This window comes from Homo sapiens, chromosome 18, assembly GCF_000001405.40.
Source record: "Homo sapiens chromosome 18, GRCh38.p14 Primary Assembly".
NCBI classification, from domain to species: domain Eukaryota; kingdom Metazoa; phylum Chordata; class Mammalia; order Primates; family Hominidae; genus Homo; species Homo sapiens.
The window spans coordinates 56,629,674-56,646,457 of record NC_000018.10 but is presented as its reverse complement, the minus strand read 5'-3'; the positions used below and the strand labels follow the sequence as shown (position 1 = coordinate 56,646,457).

Genomic DNA, 16,784 nt, shown 5'->3' with positions numbered 1-16,784 from the left:
TGTAGTTTCTCAGTTCCAAAGAGTTAACTCTAATAATGCTAGAGACTAAATGTTCATTTCCCCAATATTCATATATTGAAACCCCAGTGTGATGGATTTGGAGATGGGGACCTTTGGGAGGTAACTAGGTCATGAGAGTAGAGCCCTTATGAAAGAAGAGACAAGACAGAATACTTGTTCTCCTGCCTGCCCTTTTCCTCTCCTCTCTTTCTCTCTCTCACCCACTTCTTCCCCACTGTATGAGGATACATCAAAAAGACAGCCCTTTTAAACTGGCAAGAGAACCCTCATTAGACACTGGATTTGGGCCAGCACCTTGATCTTGGATTTCTCAGCCCCCAGAACTGTGAGAAATAAATGTTTGTTTAAGCCACCAACTCCATGGTACTCTGTTAGAGTAGCCTGAACCAAGACAAAACCCTTAACATACTCCTTTAAAAAATTAAAATAAAATTTAAAATGCAGTTTTTATTACAGAGGCTGAGGTGTTAGAAATATTTTTCTAAATATCTGGGCTTCTTAATAGAAACTCTAAGCAGTTTAATGACATCAGATATAAATTTAAGAATAAAAAACTATTTTACATATTTGGCAAACACCCGAACTGACTCTGAGAATTGCCAGTGAGTTTCTTTAGTATGCTGCAGGAGATTGCAGCATGTATGTGACAGTGTGGAACACTCTACAGCTTCCAAGGAAACCCTCTCCTCCAAGGCATAGCCTAGTGTCCAAAACTAAAGAATATAATATTAGCGCGATAAATGGTACATCTGGAGACTTGATGGCATCTAAAGAGACACTTGCTATCAAAGGGGAAATGAGATCCTTTTGACTAAAAATATATTGCGCCACCTAGGGACACCTGGGAAAATAATGTATTCAATTTTCAAATTCAAAGCATACAACTAGAAAGTGTTTGGAAATTATGAAGCAGGATTTCCTTTTTATTTAATATTTATATTACATAAATATCGCACAAATTACACCAGGCTGGAGTGCAGTGGCTCAGTCCTAGCTCACTGCAGCCTTAAACTCCTGGGCTCAAGTGATCCTCCCACTTTAGCCACCCCAAGTATCTGGAACTACAGGTGTATAACATCATGCCTAGCTTGAATTCTTAGATATGACAGCAAAAGCACAGATAACAAAAGGAAAAAATAGGTAAATTGAATTTCATTGAAATTTAAAACACTTGTGCATCAAATGACACCATAAAGAAAGTGAAAAGACAACCCGTAGAATAGAATATCTGAAAGTAATTTACTCTATAAGGGATTGATACCCAGAATATATAAAGAACTCCTACAACCCAACAGCAAAAACAAACAACCTGATTCAAAAATGGGCAAAAGACTTCAACAGACACTTCTCCAAAGAAAATAAAGAAATAAGCATTATGCACATGAAAAGATGTTTAACATCTTAAGTCATTAGGGAAATGTGAGATATCACCTCACCCACAAAGATGACTATTATTAAAAAAATTAAAATTAGCAATTGTTGCTAGGACGTGGAGAAACTGGAACCCTCATACATTCCTAGTAAGAATGCAGAATGGTGCAGGCACTGTGGAAGACAGTTTGGCCGTTTCTCAAATGGTTAAACAGAATCACCATATGATCCAGCAATTCCACTCCTAGGTATATACCAAAAAGAACTGAAAAGCAGGGACTTGAAGAGATCCTTGTACACCAATGTTCACAGCAGCATTGTTAACAACAGCTAAAAGGTGGCAACAGTCTCAGTGTCCATCAACAAATGAATAAGTAAATAAAATGTGATATGCCCATATAATGGAATATTATTGAGCCTTAAAAAGGAATGAAATAAATTTTGATATATGCTATAATACAGAAGAAATTTGAAAACATAGCGCTAAGTTAAATAAGCCAGGCCAGATGCGGTGGCCCACACCTGTAATCCCAGCACTTTGGGAGTCTGAGGCAGGCAGATCACTTGAGGTCAGGAGTTTGAGACCAGCCTGGTCAACATGGTGAAACTCTGCCTCTACTAAAAATACAAAAATTAGCCGGGCATGGTGGCGCATGCCTGTAATCCCTTCATGAGAAGGTTCTGGAAATGGATAGCAGTGAGTGCACTTAATGCTACTGACTTGTGCACTTTAAAACTGGTTAAAATGGGCCAGGTGTGGTGACTCACATCTGTAATCCCAGCACTTTGCAGGGCTGAGGCAGGAGAATTATTTGAGCTCGAGGAGCTCAAGACCAGCAACAAAGTGAGATCTCGTCTCCACAAAAAAATAAAAAATTTGCTCAGCATGGTGGGATGCAACTGTCAGCCCAACTACATGAGAGGCTGAGGCAAGTGGACCAGTTGAGCTCAGGAGGTCGAAGCTGCAGTGAGCCATGATCATGCCACTGCACTCCAGCCTGGGTGATAAAGTGAAGCCCTGTCTCAAAAAACAAAAAGTTAAAATGCTAAATTTTATGTAAGTATATTTACTCAATATATATGTATATACATATATATGAGGAAATCCTGCTTCATAATTTCCAAACTCTGTCTAGTTGTATGCTTTGAATTTGAAAATTGAACACATCATTCAATCATATATACACATAGTGAGTATATATACACACATATATATACACACATACATACATATATACACACATATATACATATATACATACACATATATACATATATATATACACACACACATATATATATATATATGAAACAACTATGGGTTGATCACATGTCTGTGCCTTCCATTTTAGCCCGTACCCCTGGACATGGAGCTATCACAAAAGTGTGTACTCCAAAGGACAGGAACATGTAATAATCATGTTTAACTTCTGAGGCTATGGCACAGTGCCTGCCATACGGGAGGTCCTGAAGAATTTGTTGTGGTTGTCAGTGAGCTGATTCCAATCTTAATTCACTGAACTGTGCGGGTTGTTCAGATAAAAACCAATGACTCCCTTGCTACATTCAAAGGCATTTCACATCTTTTGGTCTTTGACATCCTTCATCCTTTTGGTCTTTGACACTTTACTTTTGTGATAGTCCTCCTGATTCTCTGCTTCTCTTAACTTTTCTCATTTTACTCCCTATTTGTATTTGTCTTTAAATTTCTGTTGTAACTCTTTGCTTTTCTGTATACTTCCTTATGATCTACTTTAGTGGTATCATCTATGACCGCTATGCTGCAAACTCTCATATATTTATCTCTAGCCTGTATGTTAATCCTCTAACCTCCAATTTCCCTGGTGTTAAACAATTCTTAAATTTTTATATCAGGCAGAGTCACAAAAGGAAAAAGCACATTCAAAATGGGTAATCGAGGATAATTTGGTAAGGAGGGTATTAACAAACGTGTAGATAGAGTTTAGGAAAATCAAAAAAGCAATGGTGGGCCGGGCATAGTGGCTCACGCCTGTAATCCCAGCATTTTGGGAAGCCACGGCGGGCTGATCATTTGAGGTCAGGAGTTGGAGACCAGCCTGGCCAACATGGTAAAACCCCGTCTCTACTAAAAATACAAAAATTAGCCCGGTGTGGTGGCAGTCGCCTGTAATCCCAGCTAGTCAAGAGGCTGAGGCAGGAGAACTGCTTGATCCCAGGAGGCAGAGGTTGCAGTAGGCCAAGATCGCACCACTGCACTCCAGCCTGGGTGACAGAAGGAGAGAGGTCTGTCCCCACCCACCCAAAAAAAAGCAATGGTGTTGCTAAAGAGAAAATAAAGACAATGACAGCAAGGATTGAGCAGTGAGTAGAAAAGTTTAACTGTAAAGTAGGGGACTAGATTCATCACACAACTATGCTCTGGGTGGGAAGGGTGGTTCTTTTTAAACCAAAGGATCCTTATTGGTATTAGGAGAGTGAAGTTTCTGGATGTTGCCCATTAGCTGGTGGTATCTGGGCTTACCAGTTAGGCTAGTGCTAGGTGGCTGGAGATAGTTCATGCTATAAGCCTGGGAAGTCCATTTAGGAATTATGGCTTCCAGGTACCTCTGTTTCCTATGGGTGCCTGCCTTGGGATTACAGTGGCAAGTGTTTCTGCTCTTTATGTGAACTATCCAATTCAGTACTGTCTTGTCTAGTCAGGTCTAGGTAGCATCAACAGGCTGTCATGCCCAGTGTCTGGTTCCAGCCCATGCTGAGGTCTGAAGGGAGTAGGTTGATGGGTGGCAGGTAGCTGAAAGAACACTTGGGAGGCCATAGGCCGGTGAAAGATGGTTTTACTCAGCAGCTCTCTTACACTGTGTGTCTTTGTCTCGGCTGCCTGCTCCGGCTCTGCCACTCCCACGCCTGCAGCTGCATTCCCTGGTCTGCAAGGCCAGCTCTCCCTTACAGGGTCAGCAGCTTAATTCTCTCTGGGCATGAGTCGAGCCATGCCGTGCTGTATGTACAGTGTCAGCAGGGCAGTTATACCTTTTACAAACAATAGTGCCTCCAAACCAGGCGATGAGCCTTCCCATGTTATAGCTACATAGCTGTGATTATATAACAAGTGGAGTTATGTGTCTGTGCTCCAAACTCAATGAGTCACACAGGATGTTTACCTTGGCCTATTCTTGACCAAATCACATCCATTTTCCTTACACTAGGTGACTGACCCGGAGTTTCTCTGTTGGTATCCTGGTGCTGCCAACACCCAGGAGTGATTTCTACTTCTATGTCTAAAGAGACAATAGAAGACAGTGTTTGCAGGAACTCAAAGAGGATAATGGTATGACAAGAGCTGTGGCCTTTGGTGGAGACACAGACAACCTGTGGCAACACAGCAGGAAGGGAGCTAAGGGAATTACTAACTGGATCTCATTTTCTTCTACCCTCCAATCTCTTCAAGAAGCTCGAACAGAGGATCCTATTGATGCAGTCCATGTAGGCAGGTTCCTAGGGCTGAGAGCAGAGGGAAGAAAGGTAGAGAGTAGATCTGGAGGGACACATAGTGTCTCTATCAGAGCTAACTTTTACAATGCCTCTTTTCATCTTGCTTCTCAAGAATCTATAATCTATCTTGCTTTCATAAGCCCTGTTCCTCCCTTCATATCTACTATAGCTGCTGTAGTGGAGACCACTTCTACTTGCTTCTTAGGCAAAACTGGAAGGACAGTTGAGAATAATAATAATCCATCTGTTCTGGATAAATTGTGCTCCCTCACCCCACCCAAATTCATAGGTTGAAGCCCCAACCCCCAATATGACGCTAAGTGGAGATAGGACCTTTAAGGAGGTAATTAAAGTTAAGTGACGTCATCAGAGTGGATCCTTAATCTAATAGGACTGGTGTCCTTGTAAGGAAGAGAAACAGACTAGTACTGTATGTGCATGTGTGTGTGTGTGCACAGAGAAAAGGCCATGTGAAGACACAGTGAGAAGGCCGCCATTTAAAAGTGAAGAAGAGAGGCCTTAGGAGAAACCAATACCAGCAGCACTTGGATCCTGGACTCCAAGTCTCCAGAACTGTGAGAAATACATTTCTTCTGTTTAAGTCACTCAGTCTTTGGTATTGTTATAGCCAAAGACTGAGTTGTTATAGCAACCCTAGCTGACTAGCTGAATAGACACCACTGTTTATAAACATTTTTATCAAGTATCTTATGATTTGGTTCTTTATAAACATCATCCAATATAACCTTTTACCATCACAATCCTAGAAGGCAGGTGTTATTAATCCAAGGCTCACAGACAAGGAAGCTGAGGTTCTGAGAGGTTAGTAGTTTGTGCATGGCCATAAAATTTAAGTAGCAAGGCCGGTCATGGTGGCTCATGCCTGTAATCCAAGCACTTTGGGAGGTCGAGGCGGGCGGGTCACCTTAGGTCAGGAGTTTGAGACCAGCCTGGCTAACATGGTGAAACCCCGTCTCTACTAAAAATACAAAAAAGTAGCCAGGCGTGCTGGTGTGTGCCTGTATTCTCAGCTACCCAGGGCGGGCTGAGACAGGAGAATCGCTTGAACCCAGGAGGCGGAGGTTGTGGTGGGCTGAGATTGTGCCACTGCACTCCAGCCTGAACGACAGAGTGAGACTCCGTCTCAAAAAAAAAAAAAGCAAATATTTATTATGGGGACTTCTGTCTATTAAAACCATTACAATGTGCTGATACCACATGAAAAAGGAATGTAATTACTGTGCCTCTGGTGTGGCTGGGTTCAGTTAAGAATTAATTATTTTAATATGTTTCTGCAACACCTTTAGCTTTCTCTTTTCACATGTCCTGGGCTTCAACTATCACCCAATCTGATGACTCTCAAATCTGTAACGTCGTCCTAGTCCTTTTTCTTTAGTTCCAGGCTCATCCCTCTCACGATCTACTATATCTCTCACTTGGATGTCCTACAGGCATTTTAACTCATTTTTAAAAAGCTACACGATTGAAATGTTTTGAGTTATTTTAAATTCCTCTGTCATCTCACTAAATTGGACCAATAATTGTTTCTCAAACATGTTCTTTCCTCTTCATTTCCACTGCAGATGCTTTCCTAATTTAGTTCCTGGATCACCACAGTATCCTCCTAAATGGATCTCACTGCCTTCCATCCTCCTTGATGCTACCTGAGGGCTTTTCTGAAGACACTTTTTCTTTTTCCTTTTTTTTTTTTTTTTGAGACAGGGTCTGGCTCTGTTGCCCAGGCTGGAGTGCAGTGGCGCAATCATGGCTCCCTGCAGCCTTGACCTCCCCAGCTCAAGGAATCCTCCCACCTCGGCCTCCCGAGTAGCTGGGACCACATGTGCGCGCCATGACGCCCGGCTACTTTTTTGTATTTTTGGTAGAGACGGGAGTTTCACCACACTTGTAATTGCAAAATTGCCCTGAAATGATTTTTCCATTCTCTTCCCGACAAAATCCAAATTCCTTAGCTAGTCATTATCTGACCTTGGCCTTCCCTCCAATTTCATCTCCCCAGCTAAATCCAAAGACAGATAATTTGCCACCTAGCCTAATATTTAAAAGAGTACACTGGCGTTAGCCTGCCTTGACTTGAAATCACAGAACCTACTTCACAGGGATTAAATGAACTAGTACACATATAAAGAACTTATGTCTTGCCTGGTACATCATGTGGTAAATATTAGCTATTCTTCTTATCCACCCTCTCAACTCATGCATTTGCACCTGGTGGTCCCCTTGCCTGGAATATTACCTCTCACCATCCATCTAACCCCTGCTTCTCTTTAAAGATTCAATCCAGGAGTCAGATTCCTAGCAAGTTTACCCTGCCCCACCCTTCCATCTCGTTAGTCTCCACCGCTTCCTATTCAAATTATTGTTTGCGTCGGTCACTAGACCGTGAACTTCCTAAAGGAGGGATAGTGTCTTCATCTTTTTGGTCAAAACCTAAAGACAGGTGCACGATACTTTCTGAATGACTGCACAGAAAGCGCCCCATATGTAATTAAGTCTGTTAATAAATATTCCTAAACGTTATTTTGTCTTGTATGTAGACCTGCCCCGAATACAGTACAGGAGCATCTTCAAAGTACTTCCAGTGGGTGCCCTGGACAGCAGCTAAGAACCCCGGGGTAAAACGAGTTTCCTCTCTACTGTTACAAATCAGAAACCTCCTCCGTAAAAGCCTCAGATCTGGGAAACGCGGATGCATATGCCAACTTTTGAGTCTCAGTCTGCGCCTGCGCACGTGACCTCTACACGTCTCCTCTGCGCCTGCGCCGCTCAAGTTAGCGCGAGGCTACTCAGTCGAGGGTGGGACTACGCTTCGCGTTTTGGGATTGGGCGCTGAAGGCCAAACCGGACGACGCGGAAATGACGTCACGCCGGGGGCCCTGCCGCGCGGTGGCTGCTGGGTGCCGCACGCCTTCCCATCCTCCTCCTCTCCCCTCCCCCATCCCTCCCCGCCCCCTCGGCCGCTCCGCTCCCTGGCGTGACTCGGCACTGAGAGTCCCGGGAGAAGACTCGGCGGTCGCCACCTCTTCTGTCCAGGCCTCGGCCTTCCTGAGCATCTCTCCTTCCTCTCCCAGATCGTCTTCTCCTTCAGTTTCAAAGCCAGTGGCGTCGCGGCCACCCTGCCGGGCTCTCTGTGAGGATGGTGGGGGTGAAGCCCGTCGGGAGCGACCCGGATTTCCAGCCAGAGCTGAGCGGCGCGGGCTCCAGACTCGCCGTGGTCAAGTTCACCATGAGAGGGTGAGGCCAGGCTCGAGCTCTGTGGGTCCCCGTCTGTCCTTCCTTGCTTTCCTTTCACTCTTTGTTGGCCCTGGTTTCCTAGCCGTCTGCTGCCCCGGAGTGTCCGGCAGTCGCCGCAGCCCCAGGAGCTGCCGGAATTAGGCCTCGTTTCTCGGGTGTGAACCCCCATTTATGCACAGGGGTTCCTAGACGGGCTCGGGGGCCTGGCTGGCCGGCTTCTCCAGCTCAGGAGATTTCTCACCTGCTCCTTTTCAATTCTTTGACAAACTGGTTTTGGGGGTGGCCCGCCCCTATTCCTTCCAGCCTGTGGGAGTCTCCGCAGCCACCCTTGCCTGAGCCTGACCCCTTCTTTCTGCAGAGCCAGCTGTCATTTGCATCTCCAGAGCTCCAAAAGCTTAATTTACCGAACACTTTGTTTCTCTTCACCACCTACATCTCTCTAAAGCCTTTGAAGATTCAGATGGGGCGATCTAACTAATATGCGTAGCTCTGAGTCCTGAATTTCTGCTAATGCATTTCGAACTAAGTTAACGTTGGGTTAGGGTGCTTTTTAAATTATTTGAACTTTTTTCTTCCTCGTTCGGCCACTAACTTGTAGCTTAGGCTCCCCTATGTATGCGATTGCAACTGGTCACACACGACAGTACATATATAATATATTTCAGGTGGACAGTTGGCCGGATGTCTTAGTTTGACCCGGCTCTGTTTTTTCACTTAAGAGGACAGGGATCTTGAAAAATGTTAACTGTCTTTGGTAAATATCAACAAAATTATAGGTCGTAGAAAAGGTGGACCTTTTATAGTGGATGTGTAGTAAAGTTCCTTTGTAAGAATGACATGTTGGAACTCGGCGTTGAGAACCAAGATTTCAGCGTGTGTGTGTGTTTCACAGATCTCTCCTTGTGTATGTCGATAGTATTTAGTTAGAAGTATGAGAGGTTTCCGCTTTATTTTCCTTGACCCCTTGGCGTTATTTATACATCTAACTTGGAGCAGTCTACTGCTGGTATCACTGTTTATGTAACACACTTTCTTGTCCAAATAACTGTATAAACACAAAATTCCATTTTGAATTTCAGAGCAAAAAACAAAGTTTCTACTAGATGGTTCACTAAATGTTGAGTATATAAATGGTGGCATTAGGATTATATCGTTTTAGGGAATGGATGCAGATAGATATGAAAACAAGTTAAGACTTATTTTTGGACCAGTCTCTCTTACACTGAATTGAAAAAGGATAGTACCTTGCATTTCATATGGTGGGCTAGAGTACCCATATGATATACGGAATTTTGCATTTACTAAATTTAAAAGGATAAGTGATGTCATATATATAAAACACCTAAAAGGAATGTTAGAATTCTATAAATGTGTCTTCTCATTTTTAGCAATTTTGTGATGTCTGTATTCTTAATAATAGGGGAATACCTGTAGTACATTAAGTATCTAGGCCACAGTAGAAAAGGGAAGATAGGATTTCAATAAGGAACCTCACCTCACTTTTAGTTCACTTATTCTAATTCTGGCCCGTCGAAGCTTTTATATTTTTGTCCCTCAATGATATATTGTTTTTCTCCCTTACCATAGCAGTGGGAGAGATAATAAAATAATAAATAAATATTGATTGAAGTGAGAAAACTGGGGAAACATTGCTGCGAAGGAAGGTTTTTTCTATCAGTGTGGTGTCACTTAAGCATAAGCATAACTGCAGACATTGATTGGTAAGGAACTGTTACATTTAAAAAGGTATTTTAGTGGAATTAAAATTTTTTTTCTTTGTAAAAACCGAGGGAAAATTAATGTTTGGATTTAGAGTAAGTTCAAAAGCATATTTATATTACGTTTACAAATCTGGTAAGATTATTGTATTTACCTTTAATATTCCTCGAACTTATTGGCCATTAATACATCCTGTCTAAACTCATTGTCAATAGAACCCCAGAATTATGTATATGACGGGTCAGTATTAGACTCAGAAACAACTGTATTCAGTAAAATCTTGTAAGAATCCTCTTAGATCAAAGTTAATGCTGTCCCAGTTTAGACTGAGGGCATAGTTTCTCCAGCACCTATTTCATTTCCTTTCCAACCCTATTTTAAACCTTTTTTCTTTTTTTTTAACCTCTATGCTTTATGCACTCTCAGTCTAAATTTTACTAAAATGATACATAGATTGTTCTCCTGTGTAAGAATCTTTAGTGGCTTATGATAAAATATATATAACATAAAATTGACCATTTAGCCATTTGTAAGAGTATAATTCATTGGCATTAAGGACAGTCAGCCCTCTGTATCCATGGATTGAACCAAATGTGGATAGAAAATATTTGGAGAAAAAAAATTGCATTTGTGCTGATCATGTACACACTTTTTTCTTGTCATTATTTTCTAAACAATACAGTATAACAACTATTTACATAGCATTTACCTTAGGCATTATAAGTAATCTAGAGATGATTTAAAGTATATGGGAGAATGGTCGTAGGTTATGTGCAGATACCATGTCATTTTCTATTAGGCCCTTGAGCATCTGTGATTTAGTGTCTTGCTGGAGGTCCTGAAACTAATCCCCCAGATACCCAGACATGACTATACAGTCACAATGTTGTGCCACCATCACCACTGTTTCCTATAACTTTAGACAGAAATTCTATATCCATTAAAGGATAACTCCCCATCCTTACTTCTCCAAAGGGACAAAACTGTACCCATTAAGCAGTAATTTGCCCCTCCCCATCTACCTCCTTGGTAACTTCTATTCTGCTTTCTGTCTCTATGAATTTGTCAATTTGTGGCACCTAATATAAGTGAAATCGTAACAATATTTGTCCTTTTGTTTTTGACTTCACTTAGCATAGTATTTTCAAGGTTCATCCATGTCTTAGTATGTCTCAGAATTTCATTCTTCTTTATAACTGCATAACATAATCCATTTATTTATATGGCAAATTTTGTATACCTGTTCATTTTTTGATGGACATTCCAGTTGTGTCTTCCTTTGGCTGTTGTGGATAATGCTGCTAGGGGACATTGCTATGCGGGGATCCCTGCTTACTTGCTTGCTTTTCTTTTTTCTTATTTGTTAGAGACAGGGTCTTGCTCTGTTGCCCAGGCTGGAGTGCAGTTTTGAGACGATGGCTCACTGCAGCATTGAATTCCTGGCCTCAAGCAATCCTCCCACATCAGCCTCTCAAGTAAATGGGACTACAGACACATACCACCATGCCCGCTAATTTATTTTTTGTTTTAGAGACTAAGTCTCACTTTGTTGCCCAGGCTGGTCTAAATCCTGGCTTCAAGCGACCCTCCCACGTCAGCATCCCAAATTGCTGGGGTTACAGGTGTGAGTCACTGCGCTGGGCCTTCTGTGCCCATTTTTGAATTGAGTGGTTTGTTTTTGGGTTGAGTTGCAGGAGTTCTTTATATATGCCGGATGTTAATATTTAATTTGCAAATACTTTGTCCCATTCTTTGGGTTGTCTTTTTCTTGATGGTGTCCTTTGATGCATGAGTTTTAAATTTTGATGAAGTCCAATTTATCTATACTTTTGTTGCCTGTGCTTTTGGTGTCATATTCAAGAAATCATTGCAAGATTCAATGTCATGAAGATTTCTCCCTATGTTTTCATCTAAGAGTTTTATAGTTTTAGCTCTTAAGTTTAGGTCCTTGATCCATTTTGAGTTAATTTTGGTATATGTCATAAAGTTAGGGTCCAGTTCATTTTTTGGCATGTGGATATCCAATTTTTCCAACACCGTTTATCGAAAACACTGTCTTTTCCTCATTGAATGATCAGCACCCTTTTCCCAGAGTATTTTTTAAGGATTAAAATAGTCAACGCTTACATATTCCTTAGTCTGTGTAAGGAACTTGTTTAAGCTCTTATATTGACTCAATTCATTCCTCAGAATAACCCTAACAGCTATCCTTGTTTTACAGTTGAGGACATTGAGTCACAGAGAGGTTAAATAATTTGTTTAAGGTCCCGTTAATAAATGCATCGTTTGAATTATAAAGTGCTGTTCTTGATCTTTCCAGCCTAAGGAGAAAAGAAATGCACGTTCATCTCTGTGTATCTGCACAGAGCCTGACAATTTTCAATATGCCTTTCCTTAAATAATTTACACCTCTGCCTGCAATTCATTTCACTCTCTGATATTCTTTTTGGTAATATTTTTAAACAGTGTCTCCAAATTGTTACTTATGCCCAGATACATTTTAGTGGTTATGAGTAGTACCAGTTTTGTTGTTACTAAAGAGTTAAAAGAATATACATTGTGTCGTTCGTTGTCCCTGGTCTCCCCCCTCCCCACCATTAAACAGTGTGAATGATTTTTTTTTTTTTTTTTTTTTTTTTTGAGATGGAGTCTTGCTCTGTCATCCAGGCTGGAGTGCAGTGGCATGATCTCAGCTCACTGCAACCTCTGCCTCCCAGGTTCAAGCAATTCTCCTGCCTCAGCCTCCTGAGGAGCTGGGATTACAGGTATGCGCCACCACACATGGCTAATTTTTGTATTTTTAGTAGAGACGGGGTTTCACCATGTTGGTCAGGCTGGTCTCGAACTCCTGACCTCGTGATCTGCCCGCCTCGGCCTCTCAAAGTGCTGGGATTACAGGTGTGAGCCACCACACCCAGCCAATGGTTTTTATCTTGAATTGATGAATGTATCACTTTTGTAGATAATGTTTACCATGCACTGATTTTTTTTTTTTTTTTTTTTTGAGACAGGGTCTCGCTCTGTTGCTCAGGCTGCAGTACAGTGATGTGATCATGGCTCAATTGCAGCCTCGACCTCCTGGGCTCAAGCAATCCTCCCAACTCAGCCCCAGCAGTAATCGGAACTACAGGCACGCACCACTATGCCTGGCTAATTTTTTTTTTTTTTTTTTTTTTTGAGACAGAGTCTCGCTCTCTAGCCTAGGCTGGAGTGCAGTGGCACAATCTCAGCTCACTGCAAGCTCCACCTCCCGAGTTCACGCCATTCTCCTGCCTCAGCCTCCCGAGTAGCTGGGACTACAGGTGCCCGCCACCACGCCCGGCTAATTTTTTGTATTTTTAGTAGAGACGGGGTTTCACCGTGTTAGCCAGGATGGTCTCAATCTCCTGACCTCGTGATCCGTCCGCCTCGGCCTCCCAAAGTGCTGGGATTACAGGCGTGAGCCACCGTGCCCTGCCTAAGTTTTAAAATTTTTGTAGAGGTGGGGTTTTGTCGTGTTGCTTAGGCTGGAGATACATTGAATTTTCTTAAAGCAGATCTGCCTTTGTAGTTTGTTAGGGTTTGTTACAATCTAAGAAGGATGTCAGTGTATATTAGGATGTTGAGTTCTAATAGTTACAATAGCTTGTCCAAATAATTGTATATTAAACATATGTTAATTACATACCGCAAAATTACTGATAACTGAAGGAAGTTTATTGAAGTACAGAGTAAGCAGGCCCAGTAGTCCATAGGAACCAGGCAGAAAACGTTAGCAAGTAGCTGTAAGACTAGGGCATATTGAAGCCCTGGAGAACAGAGTTGCTTTATTTGTTAACTTTTTATTGAAGTGCAAATATACAAAAATGTGCAAGAAATAGATCATTAACTCCGGACTCCTCGCACTGTCCCAAGCTTCTTCCCACTACTCTTGAATTCTAACACTATAGATCAGTTTTGCCCGTATTTGAACTTTATAGAAACAGAATCATACAGTTATGTAGTTTGTCTGGCTACCTTTCAAGAGTGTTAACACAGTTTAATCTTGGCAATTGATTTGGAAATAACAATGAAAGGCACTGTGTAGGACATTGTTTTGGACTTTTTAGCATAGCTGTTAAGAGTTGGGTTCTGGGATCTAATTTAAACTTACTAATTTGTTGTTTTTTAGAGTCATAAAGCTTAAATGAGGTGACATGAGTTTGTGAATGCGTAACATACAGTAAGTGCCCAATGAATGCTAGCTGTTTTATGTAATTAATAATACCAATTGTGATTAAGCCTGCCGATTAGTAAACATAGCACATGTATAAATTGCTTAAAGTTTTACCCTGCAGGAAAAAAGAAAAAAAAATTCTTTAACTGTGGCTTTAGAAAGCATATTATCCACTTACCAGTTGTGTATATTGACACAAGTTGTTGCTCAAGATAAGACACTTATCTTGAAGGGAAGGACAGTTAGCTAGTTCATGAAATGGAATTTGTTTTATATTATGACTGTAGTAAAAAGTGTATTAAAAAGAAGCTAATGCTCTTTCAAAGAAAGCTGATCTTGGATTATATTTATGAATTGCCTGTTCTAGTGGTGGCCCTGCCGCCAACTAGGATGTTTGGTGTTGGGCAGGTCATCTTATGATCTTCACTTCTTACTTACTGGTTAATTATATTAGGTTATGTCTGTTTTAAAGTTTTAGTTTTGTGGGTTCCTTTTTTTTTTTTTTTTTGAGACAGAGTTTCGCTGTTTTTGCCTAGGCTAGAGTTCAATGGCGCAATCTCGTCTCACTGTGACCTCTGCCTCCCAGGTTCAAACGATTCTCCTGCCTCAGCCTCCCAAGTAGCTGAGATTACAGGCATGCGTTACTAGGCCCAGCTAATTTTGTATTTTTAGTAGAGACGGGGGTTTCACCATGTTGGTTAGGCTGGTCTCGAACTCCTGACCTCAGGTGATCCACCAGCCTTGGCCTCCCCACAGTGCTGGGATTACAGGCGTGAGCCACTGCGCCCGGCTGGGTTTATTTCTTTATACATTGTAGAAAGCTAGCGGTTTACTGTATTCTTTTTCTCAAACAGCATAACTCAAAATCCTTCTAACATACACATTTTATATATTGGACTAAGCAGATAAGTTTTCAGTCAGAAGGTTTAGAGTAGAAAAGTAACTTTTTTTTTTTCTTCATTTTAAATGTCTGGACTAGGTGATCTCTTGAACCTTTTGCAGTGAAATAAGAAATCGTAGATTGTGCAAAGGGCAGCTAATCAAGGTGTGTGCAAGAGAAAAAGGTGTAATTCTGAAATTCAAGCATACTGGGTGCATAATATTGTAGAGCTGGGAAAAGTCCTTGGAGAGTCCTTTTATTTTATACAGAGAAATCAGGTGACTTGTTCATGATCTCAGCTAATGGAAATTTGTTTACTCTCAACTGCTCCTGTTAAGGAGACAGACATCTTATGTAAAATGATCAATTGGCTGGGCACAGTGGCTCACACTTGTAATCCCAGTACTTTGGGAGGCTGAGGTGGGAGAATCACTTGAGTCTAGGAGTTTGAGACCAGCCTGGGCAACATAGGCAGACCTCGTGTCTTCAAAACATCAAAAATTGGCAGGGTATGGTGGCACGTGCCTGTAGTCTCAGCTGCTTGGGAGGCTGAGGTGGAAGGATCACTTGAGCCTGAGGGAATGAGGCTGCAGTGAGCCATGATTATGCCACTGCACTCAACCTGGGTGACAGAGTGAAACCCTAAAAAAAAAAAGAAAAAAGAAAATGATCGATTTATTTGAATGATTGTTTTGTGAAAGTGTGCTGCTGTATATATTTGTGAGTTTGTATATATTTATGCTTCTCTGCTGATGCATTTTGATTTTTGACCAAAGTTCCAACCTCTGATGGCTAACTGAAATTAAAGAATCTAGATAAAGTTAAATCTTGAAACAGTTTTTTGCACAGTAACCATAATTTTAATAGTCTGTTCAGCTGCAAGATGTGTGTCTGTAACACCAGTTAGCTCGTAAATAATTGATGAATAGAGAGATGTCAATGTGATATGGAAGTTGTATTGGTTCATGTGTGATTATTCCTAGGTAGTGAAAAATAGAAATAAAACCTTCATCTGGAAGCAGAAAGCTCTCAGCCACACAGGCAAATTCCCTCTCTTGTTTATTTTAAGAAAGTTAATGAAGTTAAATAAGAGTGCCTACACCTAGCGTTTGTTCCCCAGAAGGGTTTATTTTCAGTGTTGCATTTTCTCCTGTCCCTTCCTTAATGGCAGCCCCACTGGCTCAGAGCTCCACTTCAGTCTGCTTTGTCACAACACCTGTAAGCATCATTTCCAGTTGATTTTGTTCTTTTCAAATATTCCCCAAGGTCGCTTCCAGCTCTGAGCCACATGCTGGGATGTCCATCTTTTTCCTGAATCCTAGTTACTGTCTTTTTTTTTTTTTTTCTTTTCCAAGTTGGAGTCTTGCTCTGTTGCCCAGGCTGGAGTGCACGATCTTGGTGACCTTGGCTTAACTACAACCTTCCGGGTTCAAGTGATTCTCCTTCCTCAGCCTCCCGAATAGCTGGGACTATAGGCATCCGCTATCACGCCTGGCTAATTTTTGTACTTTTAGTCGAGATGGGGTTTCACCTTGTTGGCCAGGCTGGTCTTGAACTCCCACCCTAAAGTGATCCACCTGCCTTGGCCTCCCAAAGTGCTGAGATTACAGGCATGAGCCATCATCGGGCCCAGTCTGGTTACTATCTTTCTTACTGATCTTGTTACAAAATTGCATGGGTTTCAAGTAGTTTGCCAACAAACTTATTTTTCCCATAAATTCTCTCTTTTTGGTGTGTGTTTTTGCAGGAGGGTGGTTTTCATGAATGGATATATTGTACTATAGAATGGATACCTCTGTAATTTGTGACACCTGTGTAAATGCAGTTAACACTAAATTCTTCTCAACTCATTTAATATTTTAAAATGAAAATACC

General features: G+C 41.5%; 1 protein-coding gene across 4 annotated transcripts in view, besides 6 other annotated features; it reads left to right on the top strand.

Annotated features, from left to right (window-relative positions):
• Positions 4,406–4,700: an enhancer, noted in NCBI's record as "tiled region #10710; HepG2 Activating DNase matched - State 6:EnhF". NCBI's record gives its function as "activates a minimal TATA promoter and a strong SV40 promoter by Sharpr-MPRA in HepG2 cells {active_cell/tissue: HepG2}" and the evidence as "EXISTENCE:reporter gene assay evidence [ECO:0000049][PMID:27701403]".
• Positions 6,844–7,828: an enhancer, noted in NCBI's record as "NANOG-H3K27ac-H3K4me1 hESC enhancer chr18:54305861-54306845 (GRCh37/hg19 assembly coordinates)". NCBI's record gives its function as "activates a minimal SCP1, AML or CMV promoter by ChIP-STARR-seq in naive H9 embryonic stem cells {active_cell/tissue: H9 hESC(naive)}" and the evidence as "EXISTENCE:reporter gene assay evidence [ECO:0000049][PMID:30033119]".
• Positions 6,844–7,837: a biological region, named in NCBI's record as "NANOG-H3K27ac-H3K4me1 hESC enhancer GRCh37_chr18:54305861-54306845".
• Positions 7,628–7,837: a silencer, noted in NCBI's record as "silent region_9476". NCBI's record gives its function as "represses an Ori minimal core promoter by ATAC-STARR-seq in GM12878 lymphoblastoid cells {active_cell/tissue: GM12878}" and the evidence as "EXISTENCE:reporter gene assay evidence [ECO:0000049][PMID:35858748]".
• Positions 7,829–8,814: an enhancer, noted in NCBI's record as "NANOG-H3K27ac-H3K4me1 hESC enhancer chr18:54304875-54305860 (GRCh37/hg19 assembly coordinates)". NCBI's record gives its function as "activates a minimal SCP1, AML or CMV promoter by ChIP-STARR-seq in primed H9 embryonic stem cells {active_cell/tissue: H9 hESC(primed)}" and the evidence as "EXISTENCE:reporter gene assay evidence [ECO:0000049][PMID:30033119]".
• The window catches only part of TXNL1 (thioredoxin like 1), a 41,384-nt gene continuing 32,465 nt past the window's right edge, over positions 7,866–16,784 (top strand). For all 4 annotated transcript variants that reach the window (NR_024546.2, NM_004786.3, XM_024451289.2 and 1 more), the window contains exon 1: positions 7,866–8,115. Coding sequence is in view for 3 of the 4 variants with exons in the window: in NM_004786.3 (NP_004777.1) it covers positions 8,018–8,115 (98 nt within the window). In the remaining variant the exon portion in view is untranslated. The remainder of the gene's footprint in view (positions 8,116–16,784) is intronic.
• Positions 7,988–8,047: an enhancer, noted in NCBI's record as "active region_13363". NCBI's record gives its function as "activates an Ori minimal core promoter by ATAC-STARR-seq in GM12878 lymphoblastoid cells {active_cell/tissue: GM12878}" and the evidence as "EXISTENCE:reporter gene assay evidence [ECO:0000049][PMID:35858748]".